At 34.7% G+C, this 19,701-nt stretch overlaps 1 long non-coding RNA gene across 1 annotated transcript; it reads right to left on the bottom strand.

The window, feature by feature from the left end:
• Positions 1-11,141: 11,141 nt before the first annotated feature.
• LOC105375997 (uncharacterized) lies at positions 11,142-17,352 on the bottom strand. The gene is made up of 3 exons (XR_929526.4): positions 17,280-17,352; positions 12,495-12,587; positions 11,142-11,644 (listed from the first exon to the last, which is right to left on the bottom strand). It is a non-coding gene; the product is annotated as an uncharacterized LOC105375997 (long non-coding RNA).
• Between the last annotated feature and the right edge of the window lie 2,349 nt (positions 17,353-19,701).

Here is a 19,701-nt window from a genome sequence, read left to right on the forward strand (position 1 = left end):
TAAAATGAAATCCATAGTAGTACCAAACTCATGATATTTTACTGCGGATTATGATACAATAAATGAATGTATGATGCCTATAATAGTGCCTGAACTACATAGTAAGTCAATATATGGCATTGTTATTATTACTAACATTATTATTAACTCAATAATTTTTATTGTTCAGCCATTCTAATGATGGTATTGTAACCATATGGATTTCTCTACCTTAACATGTACAGAAATTATTACATCAATTTTCACCTGTATCATAATATTTAGATATTCATTATGATACGCCAATGTAAAAATTGTCACATAACCAATATATTTGTGTGTATCTAATTGTGCAAATAAAAAAAGATACTTTGCCTTATATGCGTATCCAAAACATACTGTACTTATATTTTATTGAACAATAACAATTATGTCTTATCTAGTTGTTTAACGTGTTTCTATGACTATATAATAAAAGAAGAGTAGTTCTAATATGTCACAGTTTGATTTAAAGGCACAATGACCTTTCATGTTTTTCTCTTTGCTTTCAGTAAGAGCATTGAATAATCCAATGGGGAAGGCATTTTCCTTGACAGATATTTATCATAGTAAAAAAAAATGCTGAAACTACAAAATATTTTAAAATGTTACCATGTGAATATTATTTCAGTGCATATATTTCTAGTGTAATGGCATTTGCCATCTGGCATTCTTGTGAATAAGTCTTCTTTCTTCACACACCGTACATCTTTTTGCCTTTCTCAGTTTGTGTCTATTCATAATTAATCTCTAGGTTCACGTAATAGGCCTCTCCTGCATGTTCTCTTAGCTAAGGAAACAAGTACTCAGGAGTGTAACATCATAGACAGGGAACAAAGGATTCACATTCCGCTTTCTGTGTTAGAGAGCACTGATGTGATTCTCAGGAGCCAAGCTTCTTAGCAACGAAACGAAGGATTTACAGCCCTCCAGCTTTCTCAGCTACCAAAGCTCTTGAAGGCTTTCAAGAGCTGACCTTCTTAGCAAAGGGCTGGATTCTTTTCATGCACTCACTTTCAAAAGGTAGCATACCTGTTTGTCCAGTGTGATGCGGATGCTATTAAAAGGGAGTTTCCATGGATACGGACATTAGTGGGAATGAAAAAGGATTGTCCTCTTTTCAGGCTCATTGTTGCTCCAAATATTCCTAAGACCTAGATCGTGTCACTCCTTTTATTCACCCTCTTGTGGCTAGCTTCTTGTTTAGGAAGCATTGCCAATGGTTGGTAATTAATACCTTTTTAAATGTGTAGATTCAAACACCTAGGTTTTTGTATGTGAATAAGGGTTTAGTTAATTTCTAAGACTTCATTGAGTGTGAATTTTGTTATGACTCTTATATATGATTTCAGAGAATACACATTAATAAGAGATACCATCACTTTCTTTTAAGTGATACAGAATTTGTCAAACTTAGAACCTTCCTTAAATAGTGTGAATTTGAAGTTGTATCAGAACAGAACTACAAAGTCCCACCTCCCCCTGCTCTCTTGTATTTTGGATGAATTTATTCAAAGTATACATTATGCCCTAGAATTACACATTTTTGGAATATTATGGTTAAAATATGTCAAACTCTCTTTGCCAAGACCTAATTGAATGTGAAATGAAACCAAATCAATTCATTTGTTGAGTCTATCATGTGTCAGGCAATATGGCTTGTCAGTGCAACTTATATAATGAAGAGAATAATGACTTTATCTGGAGAACTCACGAAAGAGCTGTACCACCACCTGTTCATAGAGGTAAAAGACATTGCCAGTGAATGTCCCCAGTCTTGAGAAAACAGTCACGAAATATCTGAGTCATTTGTCATAAATCTATGGTGCAGGAATCCCTCACATGGAACAAGGAGACAGAACACCAAAATTGAAAATAGAATTATGAAAATAAGTAATTGAGCTAACTTTTTCATATAGAAACAACTTCAACTTGGACAAATTTTCCAAATTTAGGTCACCAGCATCAGTTATTTAATAACACATCAATAGAGGGAATCAGTCTATTCTATTCCCTCTGGAGAGGGAAATCAGTCTTCTGTTAAAGATACCACTGATCAAGTTGATCAGAAATTCAGCTGACTCCACATGGTTTTAAGGAAATGCAATGTAGTTAATGAGCTTTTGATCCCCTTACATTGATTTCTGGTCAAATAAATACAGGCTGAAATATATTTTCTCATGTTATGTGATTTTAGTTTTTTAATAAGCTGAAATATTCATTTGTGAAAAATTTTATTTCAGTTTGTGAAATAAGAAAAATTTAATCCTTATTTGCTAATAATCTGGTCTCCTTAAGTTAAATATGTGTTAAATCATTTCAGTTAGTGTTTAAGAGAAACTAAGGAATTAAAATAATACTAATGTTTCTGTAAGTATTAACATTACTGTACAAGAAGTACATCCCTAGAAATGTACATATAATTTCTAAGAAGTGACCTAGAAACTCTACGGCATCTCATTAATTTATGGATTGGCATTTATAAGCTTAACATAAACATCAATCCTTTCCACCAGAAACTTATGTGTTTTTCAATTTTTTTTTCTTTTCATCTTGGTAATGAAAAGACTAAAAAATGCAAGTTCATGTTAAAAAGCTGACTATTATTCTGATAACCAAAAGTTTAATATAAATTCCCAAATTAGAACTTCAAAACAATGGTGAGATTAAGAGAAACAAAATTACCTGTCTTAATTTGAGGACAAGGGCATGACTTGTGAGATGTTCAGATGGCCTTTGAAAAATAGTCATCATCTTTCATGACAAAATTTTACTTTCCTATTTAATATTACTATTTAAATTATTTCTCTTTAAATTTGGGGAACCACCACAAATATTCATTATTATCAAAAGCTCCAAGTTTTAAAACTTTAATTAGCTACCCATCCAAAGAAACGATATATCAGACTCTGAAAGTGAAGGAAATTTTTTTTTTCAGATTCTAACCTTTATTTCATTTTTTAAAATAAGTTTCTAAATGTTTTCAAACAAACACATTTAACATTTAACATATGTTTTCTTTACTGCCGTTTTTGCCTTCTTGGAAAAGAAGTAAGAAAAATATTAACTATTCCTTTAAATATCTACCTACATTCCAGCCAAAAAGTTTAAAGGGTGTTGTGGAAGGCGGGGAAAACTTTCACAGAAATTCTTAAACCCTTCAAGTACCACAAATGGGTTTTAGGTAGAATGAGCAATTTGTTAGATTTATTGCTTGTACTTGTTCACATAAAGGAAGTTATAAGGTTTTCTAAAAAAGAAGATAAAATTGAAGGTTGTTGGCGGAAACCGTTATTGTCGTAAACTAGCCAAATGAGGGATGTGACTCAGGAATGAAGAAGATGTTATTTTATCTTTTCTGTCACCTGCGTATGCCTCTCCTTTGAGTCATCTCTGAGTATATTCCACTGTTTTATCTTTCATCCTTGTTGTGAAAGCGCTTTTATTGTTTAGTAAGCAAAATTAGGGTAGCTGAGGTTGATAGAGCCAATGGCTGACAAACAATGAGGTCAATATCTGTCCCATCCTGGAAAGATTGAGGTTACAGCAGGTGAAATTATCATTCTGTTTTGTTTTTATTGCTCTAATAGAATGCCACAGAGTCCCTGACCTCTGCTGCCAGTCATGTCTTACTCTAATAGCAACATGTAACCTTTGACACTCAATTAAAATAGGAAATAAGGCAAAGAATGGGTCAATATGCATGTTTGGCCAATACAAGCCTTTGAAATGAATTCCAGGGGGCTTTCAAGGAAGCTGTAACCCTTATTCCTTTGGCACACAGACGTTAAAGTTATGGTCAGTAAATTAAACAAAACATAGACACAAACAATCAAAAATAGCCTATACCAGTAATTTTCTTTCTGATTTTAAGATCTGTATATTAAGGTATCTCTCAACTTACCAATTCACACATAAATTTTCTGATTACTGAGGGGAAGATACTGCTATCTGCTGGATAGGACAGGAGAGATGCTTTGGGCAGAGAAGTTTGTTGACTTGAATAGCCAGATCTTTTTATTTAATGTGAATTTATTTTATAAGTAAAAGAGAAACAGAGTGTATTTTTTAAATGGCACATTAGCATTGTTTTTAAGAAGAGTTCGATATGTGAATGTCAGTGTCGGTGATAGGATTGGTGATCAGTTGGAGAAGTGTCCATATTGGAGACAACAGGTGTACCAGAAGTCTGCTATATACTGACAAATTCCAAGTGAAACCGACAATTCCAAGTAAAATGGTTTAGACAGGTTTTAGCCTACACACAACACAAAGAAACATACGCACATGCACACACATTGGAAGAGATCTGGAAAGACAGACATAAAATATATATAGCAGCAATCTATGGGTAGTAGGAATATGGTATCTTATTCTTAATTTCTAAATTATACATTTACTGCTTTTGTAATAATAATACAAAAAATAATATTGCAAATCATCTACTTTATTCAAAAAGTATAAATTACATTACTGATAATCTCTCCTAATAGCCTCTTACTTAAAATATTATCAATATTATCTTTATCACTGTCTCGTCTCCAGCACTCATAGATCCATTAATTTCCGCCTGCATATGTTAATTGATGGCAAATGCTTCTGCTCTGCATGCCAGCTGAGACTAGTCTCATCTTCGCATATTCAAATAAAACTTTAGCCTCTTATTGTTTTAATATGAGGAAGGGGATACTGAGCTCTGCTAGTGTTTTACATAGACTGGGTATATAGATCTGTGGAAAAATGAGATGGTCTTTAGTTTTTATTTTTGTGCAGTATTCGTGAGAATGTATTATAAATGTTCTATTTCGTTTCTCTAGAAAAAGTGGATGCTCTCTTTCATTAAATATGCACTGAAACATTTAAGTAACATTATGATAAGTTGTGATAAGGTTTTCTTTTTTTTTTTTTTTTGAGACCGAGTCTCACTCTGTCCCCCAGGCTGGAGTGCAGTGGCGCGATCTTCGCTCACTGCAAGCTCCGCCTCACAGGTTCACGCCATTCTCCTGCCTCAGCCTCCTGAGTAGTTGGGACTACAGGCGCCCGCCACCATGCCCGGCTAATTTTTTGTATTTTCAGTAGAGACGGGGTTTCACCGTGTTAGCCAGGATGGTCTCGATCTCCTGACCTCGTGATCTGCCCGCCTCAGCTTCCCAAAGTGCTGGGATTACAGGCGTGAGCCACCGCGCCCGGGGTCATAAGTTTTTTAAAGATATGTAGAATTATTTTGCGGAAACAGCTGGACTTGGTACATTTCTGAAAGATAGCCTTTTGTACATTTTCTTTATTGTGTTAACAGAATGAAACTTTATATTTATTCTGGGGTCAGTTTTGGTAAATTATGTTTTCTTAAAAATATCAAATATATAGCATAAAATTTTTCAAAATATTTAAAGTTTTTACTATCTTGGATATATCCCTCCTTTTACTAATTATTTTGTATACTCTCCATTACTTACTTGATTAGGATATTCCTAGTTATTCTTTTATTTATTTTGTTTTAATGAAACTACTTTTATTAGTTACATGTTTTCTAGCTTAAGATTTCTATTTTCCAATAATTTATTAATTATTCTAATTTGGGGAGTACAAAATTTTTTATTTACCTGTAAGATCTACTTTATAACTTATTTTGTTTAGATATTTTATATTCTTGCTTTTTTGACTAGTTGATCTATCTTTAGCAGAGAGAAGGTATTAAAGTATCCTATTATATTTGTGTTTCTGCCTATTTTGCCTCATATCTCTTATAGCTTCTGTTTTATGACAGCTTCTGCTATGCTGTTTGGTGGATAAATATTCATAACTGTCATGTCATCAACATAAGTTGTAACCTTTAGAATTATAACTTCCATCTCTTGCCTGTTTAACAGTTTCGTGGCTGAATTATACCTTGTTATACCAATTTATGCATCCTCCCTTTTTTCACATACCTACTATATATCCTTGACCTTCAACTCTTCTGAATGACTTTGCTTACATGTGTTTTGAACCTAGAATTCTATAGCAAGCAAAATTAATAATAAAAAAGAGAGCAAATAAATACATTTTCAATCAAAAGATGCATGTATTGCACATTATTGTATTCTTATTCTATCCTACTGAGTTTTGGAGAATGCTAAAAGAGGTTATTCACCATTTTTTTCTAGAAACTCAGATCTTTTGTGCTTATTACTCATGTTTTATATATTAACATGCAATAGAGTTCCCCAAGTATGGTGCTATGCACTATTATATTTTTGATATTTAAGTATTTATGTTGTAAAATATATTTATATGTGGCCCCATGATCAATAAATTGGGGAAACACCATCAACTATAGCACTTTTTGGTAAATTCCCAAACTAAATAGCATGTGAATAGCCCTGAAAAATACTGTGATTAAAAGCAAATAAAAACTAAAATCTTGTTTGTTTAACTCATCATTCGTGATACAATCACAGTACAATTATAGTGTTGTTTGTCCCTTCAAAAATGTATTCAATGGAATTAACCTAATCTGACTCATAAATGAAAACTTTAGCAGGCCCATCTATTAATTACTGTTAAATGATGATTTGATTGCCCTAGAGGTACTTTAGTGAAAAAACAGTTTCAATACATAAATTAGATTATCTATGCCAAGATATAAGTCTTCATTCTAACTCCAGTCAAAGCCTGTTTTACACTGAATGAAAAGATACAGTTTATAGCCTTAAACTTAATGTTCTCATGCCTCTCCTTTCCCCCGGATTCTGACCCCTCTGATGATTCAGGGATGGGTGGAAGAGTAATAAGGGCATAGTAAAGGACTTAATGAAAAATCAATTCATAGTTTTCGAGTCTGGTCAAGTTTACAGTTCTTGGTTATGAGCATTTTTTTGTTAGTGGGAATCTCTGTAAACGTTTATTTGACCCACTAAATTCCATGTAGTCACTTGAGACTTCTTCTGTCGTTGCTAGCTAACCCATAATCATGTCCAGCTTCTTACTGCTAGCATCCCTGTGCCCAACTAGGTAACTTTCCTAGCCAGGAGTCAAGACTGCTCCACCCTGACCTCTGTCCTTTGTGATCACATCCATTTACAGGAAACATTCATACATCCCTTGCCCTGATAAACTCTGAGTATGCTAGTTAATCCCAATATAGTCTTCTCTACGCTGCTGTCAATGCCACTTTGGTTTTCTTGAAAATGGGTCAGGAAGCCATCTTCAGGGTCTCCAGATGGCAGGGAGCATATTTTAAACTCTGGGAGTTCCATGAAAGCCCTCTTCACTAGGCTTGTTGGCAAGGTCGCATACCCCACTGCCCTCAGCAGTGAGTGTAAGTGTAGGAGAGGCAGTGTATTTCATGACTACAGGAAGTGATACAGCATGCAGTTTATGTGAATGACCGACAGCTGGGAAAAAAAGGGTGTACTTCACAGAAAGTATCGCACCCTCGGAAGTTGTATAGCATGAAAGCTTTGACAGTTGAGACTTACAGCATAGCAATTGCTCTCGCCAAAGTTACGTATTCACAAATCACCTGTTTCTTTCTGTGGTTTATATAGTCATCCTTCAGTATCCATTGGGGATTGATTTCGCGACCCTCATGGATAACAAAATCTGAGAACGCTCAAGTCCCTTATATAAAATGGCATAGTATTTGCATATAACCTACATATATCCTTCCATATACTTGAAATCGTCTATAAATTACTTATAGTACCTAACACAATGCCTACACATCACTTCATTCGTGTAGATTCAACCTAGTACTCTGTAAGCTGCTAATTTAACTTAAGCTTTTCTTTTCTTTCTTTTTTTAATTTTTTTCTTTTTTAGATGGGGTCTCTGTCACCCAGGTTAGCTGGGACTACATGTGTGTGCCACCACACCCAGCTAATGTTTGTATTTTTCTTAGAGATGGGGTTTCTCCACGTTATGCAGGCTGGTCTTCAACTCCTGAGCTCAAGCGATCCACCCACCTTGACCACCCAAAGTGCTGGGATTACAGATGTGAGCCACCTAGCTAATTTAAGTTTTGCTTTTTGGAACTGCATAAAATCTTTTTTTTTTCCTGAATATTTTATTTGGTGGCTGGCTGAGTCCAAGGATATGAAACCCACGCATAGGGAGGGCTGACTGTATTCTGTAGCTGAGTCAGAGGGTGCAAAAGTCATGAAACTTGCTCTTGTACATTTCTTACGATGTTAAATTTTCATATGGAACTCTGTATCCCTCTCCCTTTAAGACCTGATATCTATTATGTTTGCATCTTAGTAAATAATAAGGTAGAAAAAAAATTGTAATGTCTTGTTAACCAAATATTTTCCAAAATTGTTTTATTACCAAAACTGTTTTTCCCCACATAATATTGACTAATTTTCTTGAATCAGTGATAATCCAGGTAACAGAGTTTCAGTGACGCCAACATGTAACCTGAGTTCAAACATAATAGCCAAGATAACTAGTTTTTGTCTGCCCAGAAACAGCTTTCCACTCTCTTTTTTTTTCATCCTTTTGGAGAATTTTTCTTTTTTTTTTCATGTATCAGTGGCCTGTCTTCTGTCAGAAAATAAAAGTGGGCAAAAAACTCCCCAAATCAGGCCAAAGCACTTTTTTCCACAGGATATTTTTAATAGAACCAATTTTTCTCCTCCATAGCTTTCTTAAGAAGGAAAAATATGAATCTAGAGGAGATGAGGGCACCATATTTATCTCCACATGAAGAAAGTTTGTCTGCAGAATGAAGTCAATGTACAGAGGGAGTCAGAGCCAAGAAAGAATATTTTTTGAGTTCCTGGACATAGCTGAGTCTCACGAGACAAATATATCACCAAACTTGCTTGTTACATGAGAAATCACATTCTGTTTTTTTCTTTCTCCCAAGATAGTTTGGGTTAGCTCTCTGTCTCACTTGCAACTACAAAAAATTTGACCAAAACACCCTAAATGTACCAACAACCCCTAATTAATTGTTTTCCTTTGGGAAATATTAGAAAACTATTGGGTTTTTTTTTTTTTTACCCCCAATAGCAAATTCGCAGGCATATCACAGGCAAATATTAGATGCTTCATCATTTTCCCCAATCTGTCTCCTATTTCCTATGATCCTTAATACAAAGCCAGAAACCCTGTTTGTTAGATAACTTTGCTATGCTAATGCCAAATCTGACTCCAATATCTCTTACTCTTTGCAGAACATAATAAGGCAATATCAAAGTAATATTAAATCAGTTGGCTTAACTCAAAAGCATAATTTATGTTTTGCAGTTTATGTCAATTCATGACTGCCACTAAACTAAAGCTAATGATGTTTGTACCTGAACTTCGTATTTTAAAATGAGCAAGTATATTCAGTTCTAAAGGAATATATACAAAAGTAACAGTTCCCACTGGAACCTTCTTTCTTATGCTTGTGATACACTTGGAATTATTTGCTAGTATCTACTATTATTCTTAGCGATTGAGGTACATGCTTACTAAAATTAGAATATATTTCTAAACTCAGAAGAACATGCATAGTCCACTTGAGGAACCTACTTGTTATTAAACGCTTCCCTGTGTTGGATCAAAGGATGAGCAACCACGGGAAATCAAAGAATAAAAATAAGCGTAAGACTGAACCAATTTAAAAAGCCATATTTTATTAAATGCCACTGCTATTAAATATTTTTATAGTTTCCCATCCTCTAGTGAATTTAATCTTGAGAAAAAATATACATCACTAATAGATTGGTATATGTTTGTGTGTATTGAAAATAATACATAAGCTTTTCAAGACTTAAGACATATATGTTTAAATAATTATCAAAAAAGGTAAGCATATAATGATCTTATCTTTCAAAATTCAGCCTCACATCATCAAGTAATGACGATTACCACAATAAGTTGCCCTTTGGAAAAGATAGATAGAAGAAAAATAGAAAGAGCGTAATACAGCTAGACTAAGCTACATATAGCACCTGCTAGAGTTGTGTAGTATGGAAGTTTTGGTGGGTAGAGACCCACTGAAGAGAAACAGTTCTCTCCAAAGAAATACATTCACAAATCTTTGTCATGACACTTAATCTCTAAGTGAGTTAACCTGTTAAAAATCTTCCTTTAACTAAGTAGGTAAAGCACTGATCAACTGCATTTCATAATTTTAAATGGCCACACTGGTATAAAAAAAATTGGATGGTTATTGCCATAAATTTATGAACAGAAAGAGTAAAATTGGAAAATGTAGTTTTATTTTAATTTAAGGGATTTTTCTAAAAATCAAAATGAGTGCATTCTTTGAGGCTTAATATAGATCTCTTTTTTTTGGCAGAACAACAAATGATGAAAGTAAAAGAGAGTGAACAGAGTTTTCCTATGGGAATTTAACCACATAGTTATTAGTGATGGGAAATTCATGTCTGGCTCAAAGATGCACGTATTCATAGGACTTTAGAGCTAAAGAAAATATGTAATCAGCAAATCCTACTCCTTTAGTTTACAAATGGGAAAACGAAACTCAAAAAGTTGAAGTGATTTGCTCAATGTCATACAAGGAGATACTAATAAATCTATACATGAAATTTAGTTTGTAGCCTTTTTCTATAAAATCGTGAACTTGCATATCTCTCAATTACTTTAAAGCCCTCAAAAATCCTACCCTTCCATCTTCATCTTCTCTGCTAAAATCAGAATCTTCAGGCTAGCAATGGGGCACACAAGGACAATTAATCCCACGTAATCACTGCACACCATGTAAATAATCAGCTGTCATTTTCTCAACTAAATTCCCTAATTAATACAATAATCAAAACAGAACTTTCAAAATATGTGTTTACCTTTTGAAAAGTTAAATATCTTGTGTAAGTATTGTAAAGATGCTCTTAATGGGAAAATAACTTTAAAAAGTTATGATCTAGTATGTAATAATTTTATAATAAGAGCATGCATTAAATATTATAAAAGCTGAAAGATTTTAAGTTTAGGGTATGTGCATTTATCACCTTTAAATTTATAACTTCCAACTGTAAGCCTGAATAAGATATAAATTCATTTGTCTTTGAGTGAATTAAAGTAAAATGGTTTATTTTGATCATTAAACTTTCATATGATTTACAACTTCTTGGCAACAAACGCGTATTTTTTATTGTCTAAAAGGCATAAAATACAACTACCTCAGAAATTATCTCTTGTCCATCTCCATATACGGCAAGGATTCTGGAGGACAAAAAAAGCACTCCAGTTTATTGAAGATTACCCAACTCCAATGGTGGTATCACTATCAGAAGTCATCTATTGAGTTTCAGCTTGCTGTACTTTCTACCACTTGTTACTAGAGCATACCTTCAACTTCAATAAATGGACCTTTTGTCGTCTCTGATATTTAGCTTTACTTTATATTAAGGACATCCTTTAATCTGTGAAGTGACTGTCAATAGCTACACACAAAAATTCTTAACTCTTCTTTACCTCAGTTATGGAAGAAATAGAAATTGAGGTGACAGCCTGCAGTAGACAGCACAAAGGATCATGAGGAATCAAGTGGGGTTATTTCCACAGCCATTTGCTACTCTCAGCTTAGAAGACTCTTATGTCATGTTGGGTTCTTTCTTCTAAGGGCTGGCATCACTTGAGAGAAGAAACAGGGCAAAGAATGCAGCATCCTCAGTTGAGGTCAGGAATACTGAAAAGGGATATTAATGGATTGAGCGTCAAAATGTCGTGATGGATGTCTTTCCAAGTATTTAACAGAGGAAGCAATTTGCAGGCTGGACAACCTGATTTCTAAATTCTAGCAGTTTCTCCTTCCACTCAGGATCCTGACTGCTCAAAATTAAATCACAATAAAGATAAATGCAATGTGTTAAGTTGTCCCTGAACTATTGGAATCAGATAAGAGGTGTACAGCATTGTGGGGAGATCACATAAGATTGTGATAACTCAAATGCTCAATTTGTCAAATGGCTCCTTCTGTTGGTGCAGAGAGCTGAAGCATTTTCATGAGCTTCAGATCAAGATCTTGAGCAAATGCTAGAAATAACTATTTTGTTTTGTGGGGGAACAAAGATAAATGTGTTCTGAATTATGAGGAGGAAAAACTAGGTGTGATTAAGCTTACATATTTCCAATGCGTGTTTCTTCAGGAATAAAACTACATAAACATTTTATTTGCCTCCAGTTCTCATTATTCTGCACACTATTTTCAGTCCTGGTAAAAGTAACAGCAATAGCACTTTGCATTTATACAGCACCATTTGTCCAAAAACTCAGTAATATTATGGATAGAAATAGTTTAATTTATTCTTACAGTGCATTTTTATGTAAATAAAGGGTTATATTTCATTTTACCTTTTTGTTTTTTTGTTTTAGATATAGAATAAATTAAAATCCAATTGGCAAAGTTTTGCAGAGAACATTACATAATAACTGAAAACTGCTTCCCTATTCACCATTATACTTCCATCAAGGACAGGGATTTGGCAAATACTTTGGCAAAAAATATCACAATAGAAGTTTAAAAATACTCCCCCTACCTGCATTTGAGCCATTAGCTTACATGCAGCTTTTCCTACCAAGCCACCAAGTCTCTCTTGCAACACTCTTTTTGCTTGAAGAAATGCAAATCTCTGTGAACAGTTAATTATATTAAATTTTTAATGTCATTTAAGACCAGATTTTGAACCCAAAAAAGATGCTTACTCAATCATTAAATTATAAGCCAAGCATAGGAGCCACTTTGTATAAGCAATGGGCTTTCAAATAATGGTCAAGTGCTGTAAAGTCATTTAAAAATTAAATGTGTTTATAGGCATATGTTATAATAGTCAAAAATACTGCAAACTAGATGAAACTGAGTATATAAAACAGTGGAAAGGGCTTAGGACTCTTCTCAGAATAACTGATGAGGGGAAAATGGTTAAATATTCAGGAAATATATCAGGATCATTAACATCATGATCAAGGACTCAAGAAATAATTAGGCTTCTGACAATCAGAATCCTGGACAGATTAACAAGTCCAGTAAATAGTCCTCAAACAGTGATTTGTCTCTACCATTGAACTTTTAATGGCACCAGAAGTAACCAGCTTTCCTCCTTCAGCATGAAACTCTTCAAAAAGTTATTTCCCTCTCAGCAACAGTGATTGATTAGATGTGGACTGAACCTCTCATGTATGTATCACAGATTTTCTGACTTGAGAGCCTGTGTTCAGTCTGTCCAGACATATTTTAATTTTCCTCCTAGCTCTCTTCCATGCTATTTGTCATTTTTGGTTCCTACATTTTCTAATGTGAGGAAAAAATTTGAAATTCTCAAAAATCCTGTTTTACAAAAAAATTAAAAAGATGGCCTAACCTCAAGACCTTATGTAACACTGAAAAATGTCTATATTAAAAAGCCATGCTTTAAGTGAATTTGAGAAATCTGAAGTACAGGAAGAAGAGAAATACAAAGAAATAAAATAAATTGCTACCATTAGGTATCATAATAACCTGTATTCAAGTGCACTAACAAGTAAAAAAGAGTAATAGTAAATAATGCTATGAACCTCCAAAACATAGATAAAAATGAGTTAAAAGAAGAATTCCACTGTGTGTGTATGAGTGTGTGTGTGTGTCTATGAATAGCACCATTATGTTTTGTCATTGAGTTCAAACTCCATTTCAAATAATGTTATGATGTGAGTAGACTGGGAAACCTCTCCTAAATCGGTATTTATAATGTACAGAGTGATTCTTAATCTAAAGTTTTAGTTTCTGAAAACATACATTATCCAAAGCCTCAGAGAGCACAAGTAGTTAGGCAACTAGGTAAAAGCAATGGTCTATAATGTTTCATGTAGAATGCCAGGAGACATACATTCAAAATGAAGGATCAACATCCCAGAGTCTGAAAAATAGCTAAAGCAGTGTTAAGAGGGAAGTTTACGAAGCTAAATGCTTAATCAACAAGTTAGAAAGATCTCAAATTAACAACTTAACATACCTAAAAGAATGAAAGAAACAAGGGCAAATCAGCTCTAAAACTAGCAGAAGACAAGGAAAAGATGAAATCAGAGCTGAACTGAAAAAACTGATATGTGAAAAACCATACAAAAAAAAATCAATGAATCCAGGAGGTTTTTTTTTTGAAAGAATAACATAGATAGATAGACCCCTAAGTGGACTAATAAAGAAAAAAGAAGATCCAAATAAAAACAATCAGATATAACAAAGGGAATGTTACCACTGACCCCAAAGAAGTAAAAAAAAAAAAAAAAGTCCCTCAGAGACTACTAGGGACACCACTATGCACACAGCTAAAAAACTTAGAAGAAATGGATAAATTCCTGGAAACACAACCTCCCAAGATTGAACTCCTCAAAATATTGTATCCCTGAAGAGCCCAATAATGAGCTCCAAAATTGAATCAGTAATAAAAAGCCTACCAACCAACAAAAAAAAAAAAAAAAGAAAGAAAAAAATGGCAAGGACCATAGCCAAATCCTACCAAATGTATAATGAAGAGCTGGTACCATTGCCACTATAACTAGTCCAATAAACTGAGGAGGAGGGGCTCCTCCATAACTCATTCTATGAGGCCACCATCATCCTGATACCAAAACATGGCAGAGACACAACAAAAAACTTCAGACTAATACTCTTGATGAACATAGATGCAAAAATCCTCAACAAAATACTAGCAAATCCAATTCAGCAGCATATCAAAAACGAATCCATCACAATCAAGTAGGCTTTTATCCCTGGGATGCAAGTTCAATTCAACAGACTCAAATCACATAACCAGAACTAAAAACAAAAACCACATGATCATTTCAAGATACAGAAAAGGCTTTGATAAAATTCAACGTCCCTTCATGCTAAAAACTCTCAACAAACTAGGCATTGAAGAAACATACTTTAAAATAATAAGAGCCATCTATGACAAACCCACAACTAACATCACTGAATAGGAAAAAGCTGGCAGAATGCCCCTTAAAAACCAGCACAAGACAAGCATGCCCTCTCTCACCACTCCTATTCAACATAGTCATAACCAGAGCATTAAGGCAAGAGAAAGAAATAAAAGGCATCCAAATAGAAAGAGAGGAAGTCAAACTATCACTGTTTATAGATGATATGATTCTATGTCTAGGAAATCCCATAGTCTCGACTCAAAAGCTCCCTGATGTGATAAACAGTTTTAGTCATGTTTCAGGATACAAAATCAATGTACAAAAATAAGTACACAAACAATATCCAAGGTGAGAGCCAAATCAAGAATGCAATCCCATTTACAATTGCCACACCAAAAAAAAAAAAACTAGTAATGCAGCTAACCACAGAGATGAAAAATCTCCACAGTGAGAATTACAAAACACTGCTCAAAAAAGTCAGAGATGACATGACACAAACAATGGAAAACATGCCATGCCCATGGATGGGAAGAATCAATATTGTTAAAGTAGCCATATTGCCCAAAGCAATTTACAAATTCAATGCTATACCTATGAATATACCATTGACATTTTTCACAGAATTGTAAAAAATCTACTTTAGAATTCATGTTAAACCAAAAAAAGAGCTCAAATAGCCAAGACAATCCTAAGCCCAAAGAACAAAGCTGGAGGCATCATGCTACCCAAATTCAAACTATACAACAGGGCTATAGTAACCGAAACAGCATAGTACTGGTACAAAAACAGACACATAGACCAAGGAAATGGGATAGAGAACCCAGAAATAATGCTGCACAACTACAACCATCTGATCTTTGACAAAGCTGACAAAAACAAGCAATGGGGAAAGGACTCCCTATTTAGTAAATGGTTCTGGGATAACTGGCTAGCACTATGCAGAAGATTGACACTGGACCCCTTCCTTATACCATACACAAAAATCAACTCAAGATGGATTAAAGACTTAAACGTAAAACCCAAAACTCTAAAAACTCTGGAAGACAACTTAGGAAATACCATTCATGACATAAGCACAAACAAAGAGTTAATGACGAAAATGCCAAAAGCAATTGCAACAAAGGCCAAAATTGACAAATGGGATCGAATTAAAAAGCTTCTGCACAACAACAACAAAAGAAGCTATCAACAGAGTAAACAGACAACCTCCAGAATGGGAGAAAATTTTTGCAAACTATTCATTCGACAGAGGTCTACTATCTGGCATCTATAAGGAATTAACCAAATTTACAGGAAAAAAACAAACAGCCCCATTAAAACATGGGCAAAAGACATGAACAGGCACCTCTCAAAAGAAGACATACATGTGGCCAATGATAATATGAAAGAAAGCTTAAAATCACTGATCATTAGGGAAGTGCAAATCAAAACCACATTGATTTGCCATCTCACAACCTGTCAGAATGCTTATTATTATAAAGTCAAAAAATAACATATGTTGGTGGGTTGCAGAGCAAAGGGAATGCTTATACACTGCTGGTGGGAATGTATAATTAGTTCTGCCATTGTGGAAAGCAGTTTGGCAATTTCTAAAGGAACTTAAAACAGAATTACCCTTTGACCCAGCAATCCCATTATTGGGTGTATACTCAAAGGAATTAGGAATACACATCATTCTACCATAAAGACACAAGCATGCATATGTTTATCACAATCCTATTCACAATAGCAAAGACATAGAATCAACCTAACATGCACATCAACAATAACATGGATAGGCTGGATAAAGACTGGATAGACTTTATCCAGTCTGGATAAAGAAAATGCGATATAAATACACCATAAAATATCACACAGCCATAAAAAAGAATATCATAAAATATCACACAGCCGTAAAAAAGAATGAGATTATGTCCTTTGCAGCAACATGGATGGAGGTGGAGCCATTATCCTAAGCAAACTAATGCAAGAACAAAAACCAAATGCCATATGTTTTCATACCTAAGTGGAAACTAAACATTGACTACAGATGGACTCAAAGAAGGGAACAACAGTTACACTGGGGCCTACATGTGGGTGGAGCGTGAGAAGAGGGTGAGGATAGAAAAACTACCTATCAGGTACCATGCTTATTACCTGGGTGATGATGAAATAATCTGTACACCAAACCCTGTGACACGCAATTTACCTACATAACAAACCTGCACATGTACCCCCGAACCTGAAATAAAAGTTAAAAAAAAAATGTAAATAAATGTATTTTAAAGAATTTTTAAATATAAAAGCACAGTTGAATTTAGAAAAAAAAAGGATCAGTATAGCATATATTCTTATTTAAGGCAACTTGCAGTTAATAGTATTTATTCATTTACTCACTCATTTACTCGACAACCAAAAATATATCTTAAATACTCATTACATACCAGGCACTTTTATAGGTATAGAGGTTATATCAGTAAATAAAATAGTCAAAAATCTCTGCCTTCATGAAGTTTCTGTGGGAAAGACCATGTAAAAGTTGATAAATCTATAGAGTAAGATTCAAGGTGTTACTGAGGAAATAAAGCTGCAGAGGAGAACCAGGAGGCCTAGTTGGGGATTGGGATATAAGTTAAATAGAGGGCTCAGAGAAGAACTCTCAAGAAGATGGCAGTTAAGCAAAGACTTGAAGGAGGTGAGGAAATTCACTCTGTAGATAGATTGGGGTATAGCATCATAGGAAGGAGGGTATAAACAAATGCGAGATTGCAGAGGTGGGAGTCTACCTAACATTTGTGAAGATCTGTATGGCTGATGAAAAGTGGGAAGGATAGGAAGTAGTAGGAGAGGAAGTGAGAAATATAATAAAAGGTGGGAAGACAAATCATGTAGGGTTTTTAGGCCATTTTAAAGACATTGGCTTTTATTCCAAGTAAAATCTGAATTCACTGGAGAGTTTTTAAGCAGAGAAATGACTTCTGCTGATGCATGCTTTGGCAGATCTACTCAGAATGCTTTGCTGAGAACAGACTTCAGAGGGATAAGATGAAAACAGAAAGATCAGTCAGGAAACTATTGTAAAAATCTACAGCAGGGTGTTTGCAGATAGAACCAGGACGATTATAGAAAAGGTACTGAAAAATGGGAAAATTCAGATATATTTTAATGATAGGGACAACAGAATTTTCTGTTGTAAGTTTTGAAACAAGAAACAGAGACAATATACAAAAACTAACAAAACCCTTGGGGGAATGCGGGATATTTTGTCCTGAGCAATTAAAAGTGAAATTACCACTAACTGAGGTGGGAACAATTGTACCAGGACCTGATCTGTGTGACAGAAGAAAATCAAGAGCTCTAGCTTGCACCTGTTAAGTTTAGACATTTTTCAGGTATCACAGTAAAGTTGTCTATAATCCAGGGGTGAGGTCCACACTAGAAAGAAAATGCTGTCAGTCATCAGATGGTATTTAAAGCACAAAGCCAAATAAGAATCCCAAGACAGCATAGATAGAAAAAAGGTCAAAGCAACTGACAAAGTCCAACATTAAGAGATCAAGAAGATGAGGATAAAACCATTAAAAAGATTAATATAGTGAAGATGACAAAGAAAAAAGAAAATCAGAAGAAATGTGGTGTCAAAAAGTCAAGTGAAGAAAGCAATTTAAGGAGAAAGGAATCTTCAGCTATGTCCTATGTGAATGATAAATCAAGTCATGAGAATCAAAACTTGACCATTAGATTTAGCATTGTGATGTCATTGGTAACCATGCCAGAAGTAGTTTTAGTAGAGAGGCGAAGGTTGCTGAGAGAATGGGGAAAAGAATTGGAGGCAGAAAGCGTAAACAACTGTTTTGAGGAATTTTGCTACAAGGATGAGCAAAAAAATGGTGTGATACCTGGAGGGTAGTAGAGATGAATAATTTTTTTAAAAATAGAAGCATACAATTTTGGGGAACAGCACTGTGATGAGACTGATAGAGTAGAAAAGGGAAATTTGGTGATAGAGGACAGAGAGTGATGTTTTTGAGTAGGCAAGAAAAGATGAATCTATTATATCAGTAAACAGGTGGGCCTTAGATACAGGCATGGTGAGTTCATCCCTGGGAACAACAGAGAGAGAGGACACATGCAAACAGATGCAGATGGAGGATTTATGAAGAAAGTTTGTAGTATTTTTCTTGCAACTTTCAATTTTCTAAGTGAATTGGGAAGTACAGTCATTGACTAAGAATAGGCATAAATTTAAGAAAGGGAAATGTTTAATAAGACATTGGGATAATAAATAAGCTGGAAATTGTATGATGCTAGAAGTATTTAGATTCATTTAAAGTTAGTGGATAGTAATTTTAGATGAGAATAATCAGCATGTTTCTAGATATTTCTCTAGCCATAGTCAACTGCATGAATGCAAATGTGTGCAGGAAACAGTACAGGCCAGGCACGGTGGCTCACACCTATAATCCCAGCACTCTGAGATGCTGAGGCGGGTGGATAATTTGAGGTCAGGAGATCGAGACCAACCTGGCCAAAATGATAAAACCCCATCTATACTAAAAATACAAAAAAAAAAAAAATTAGATGGGCATGGTGGCCCTATGCCCAGCTACTCAGGAGGCTGAAGCAGGAGAATCCCTTGAACCTGGGAGGCGGAGGTTGCAAGCCGAGATTGTGCCACTGCACTCCAGCCTGGGTGACAGAATGAGTGAGACTCCATCTCAAAATAACTAAATAATAACAGTTATACTTTTCCAGGGTTGATGTTTTGTCAAGTATGTAAAGTGAGAGGGTGGTAAAGAAGTTGCATGTGTGTATCACGGCATGGTTTAATGATGGTCAACAAATTCAAGCTGGGGTGGAGGGTTA

The sequence above is a fragment of the Homo sapiens genome, chromosome 9 (assembly GCF_000001405.40).
Source record: "Homo sapiens chromosome 9, GRCh38.p14 Primary Assembly".
Taxonomy (NCBI): Eukaryota; Metazoa; Chordata; class Mammalia; order Primates; family Hominidae; genus Homo; species Homo sapiens.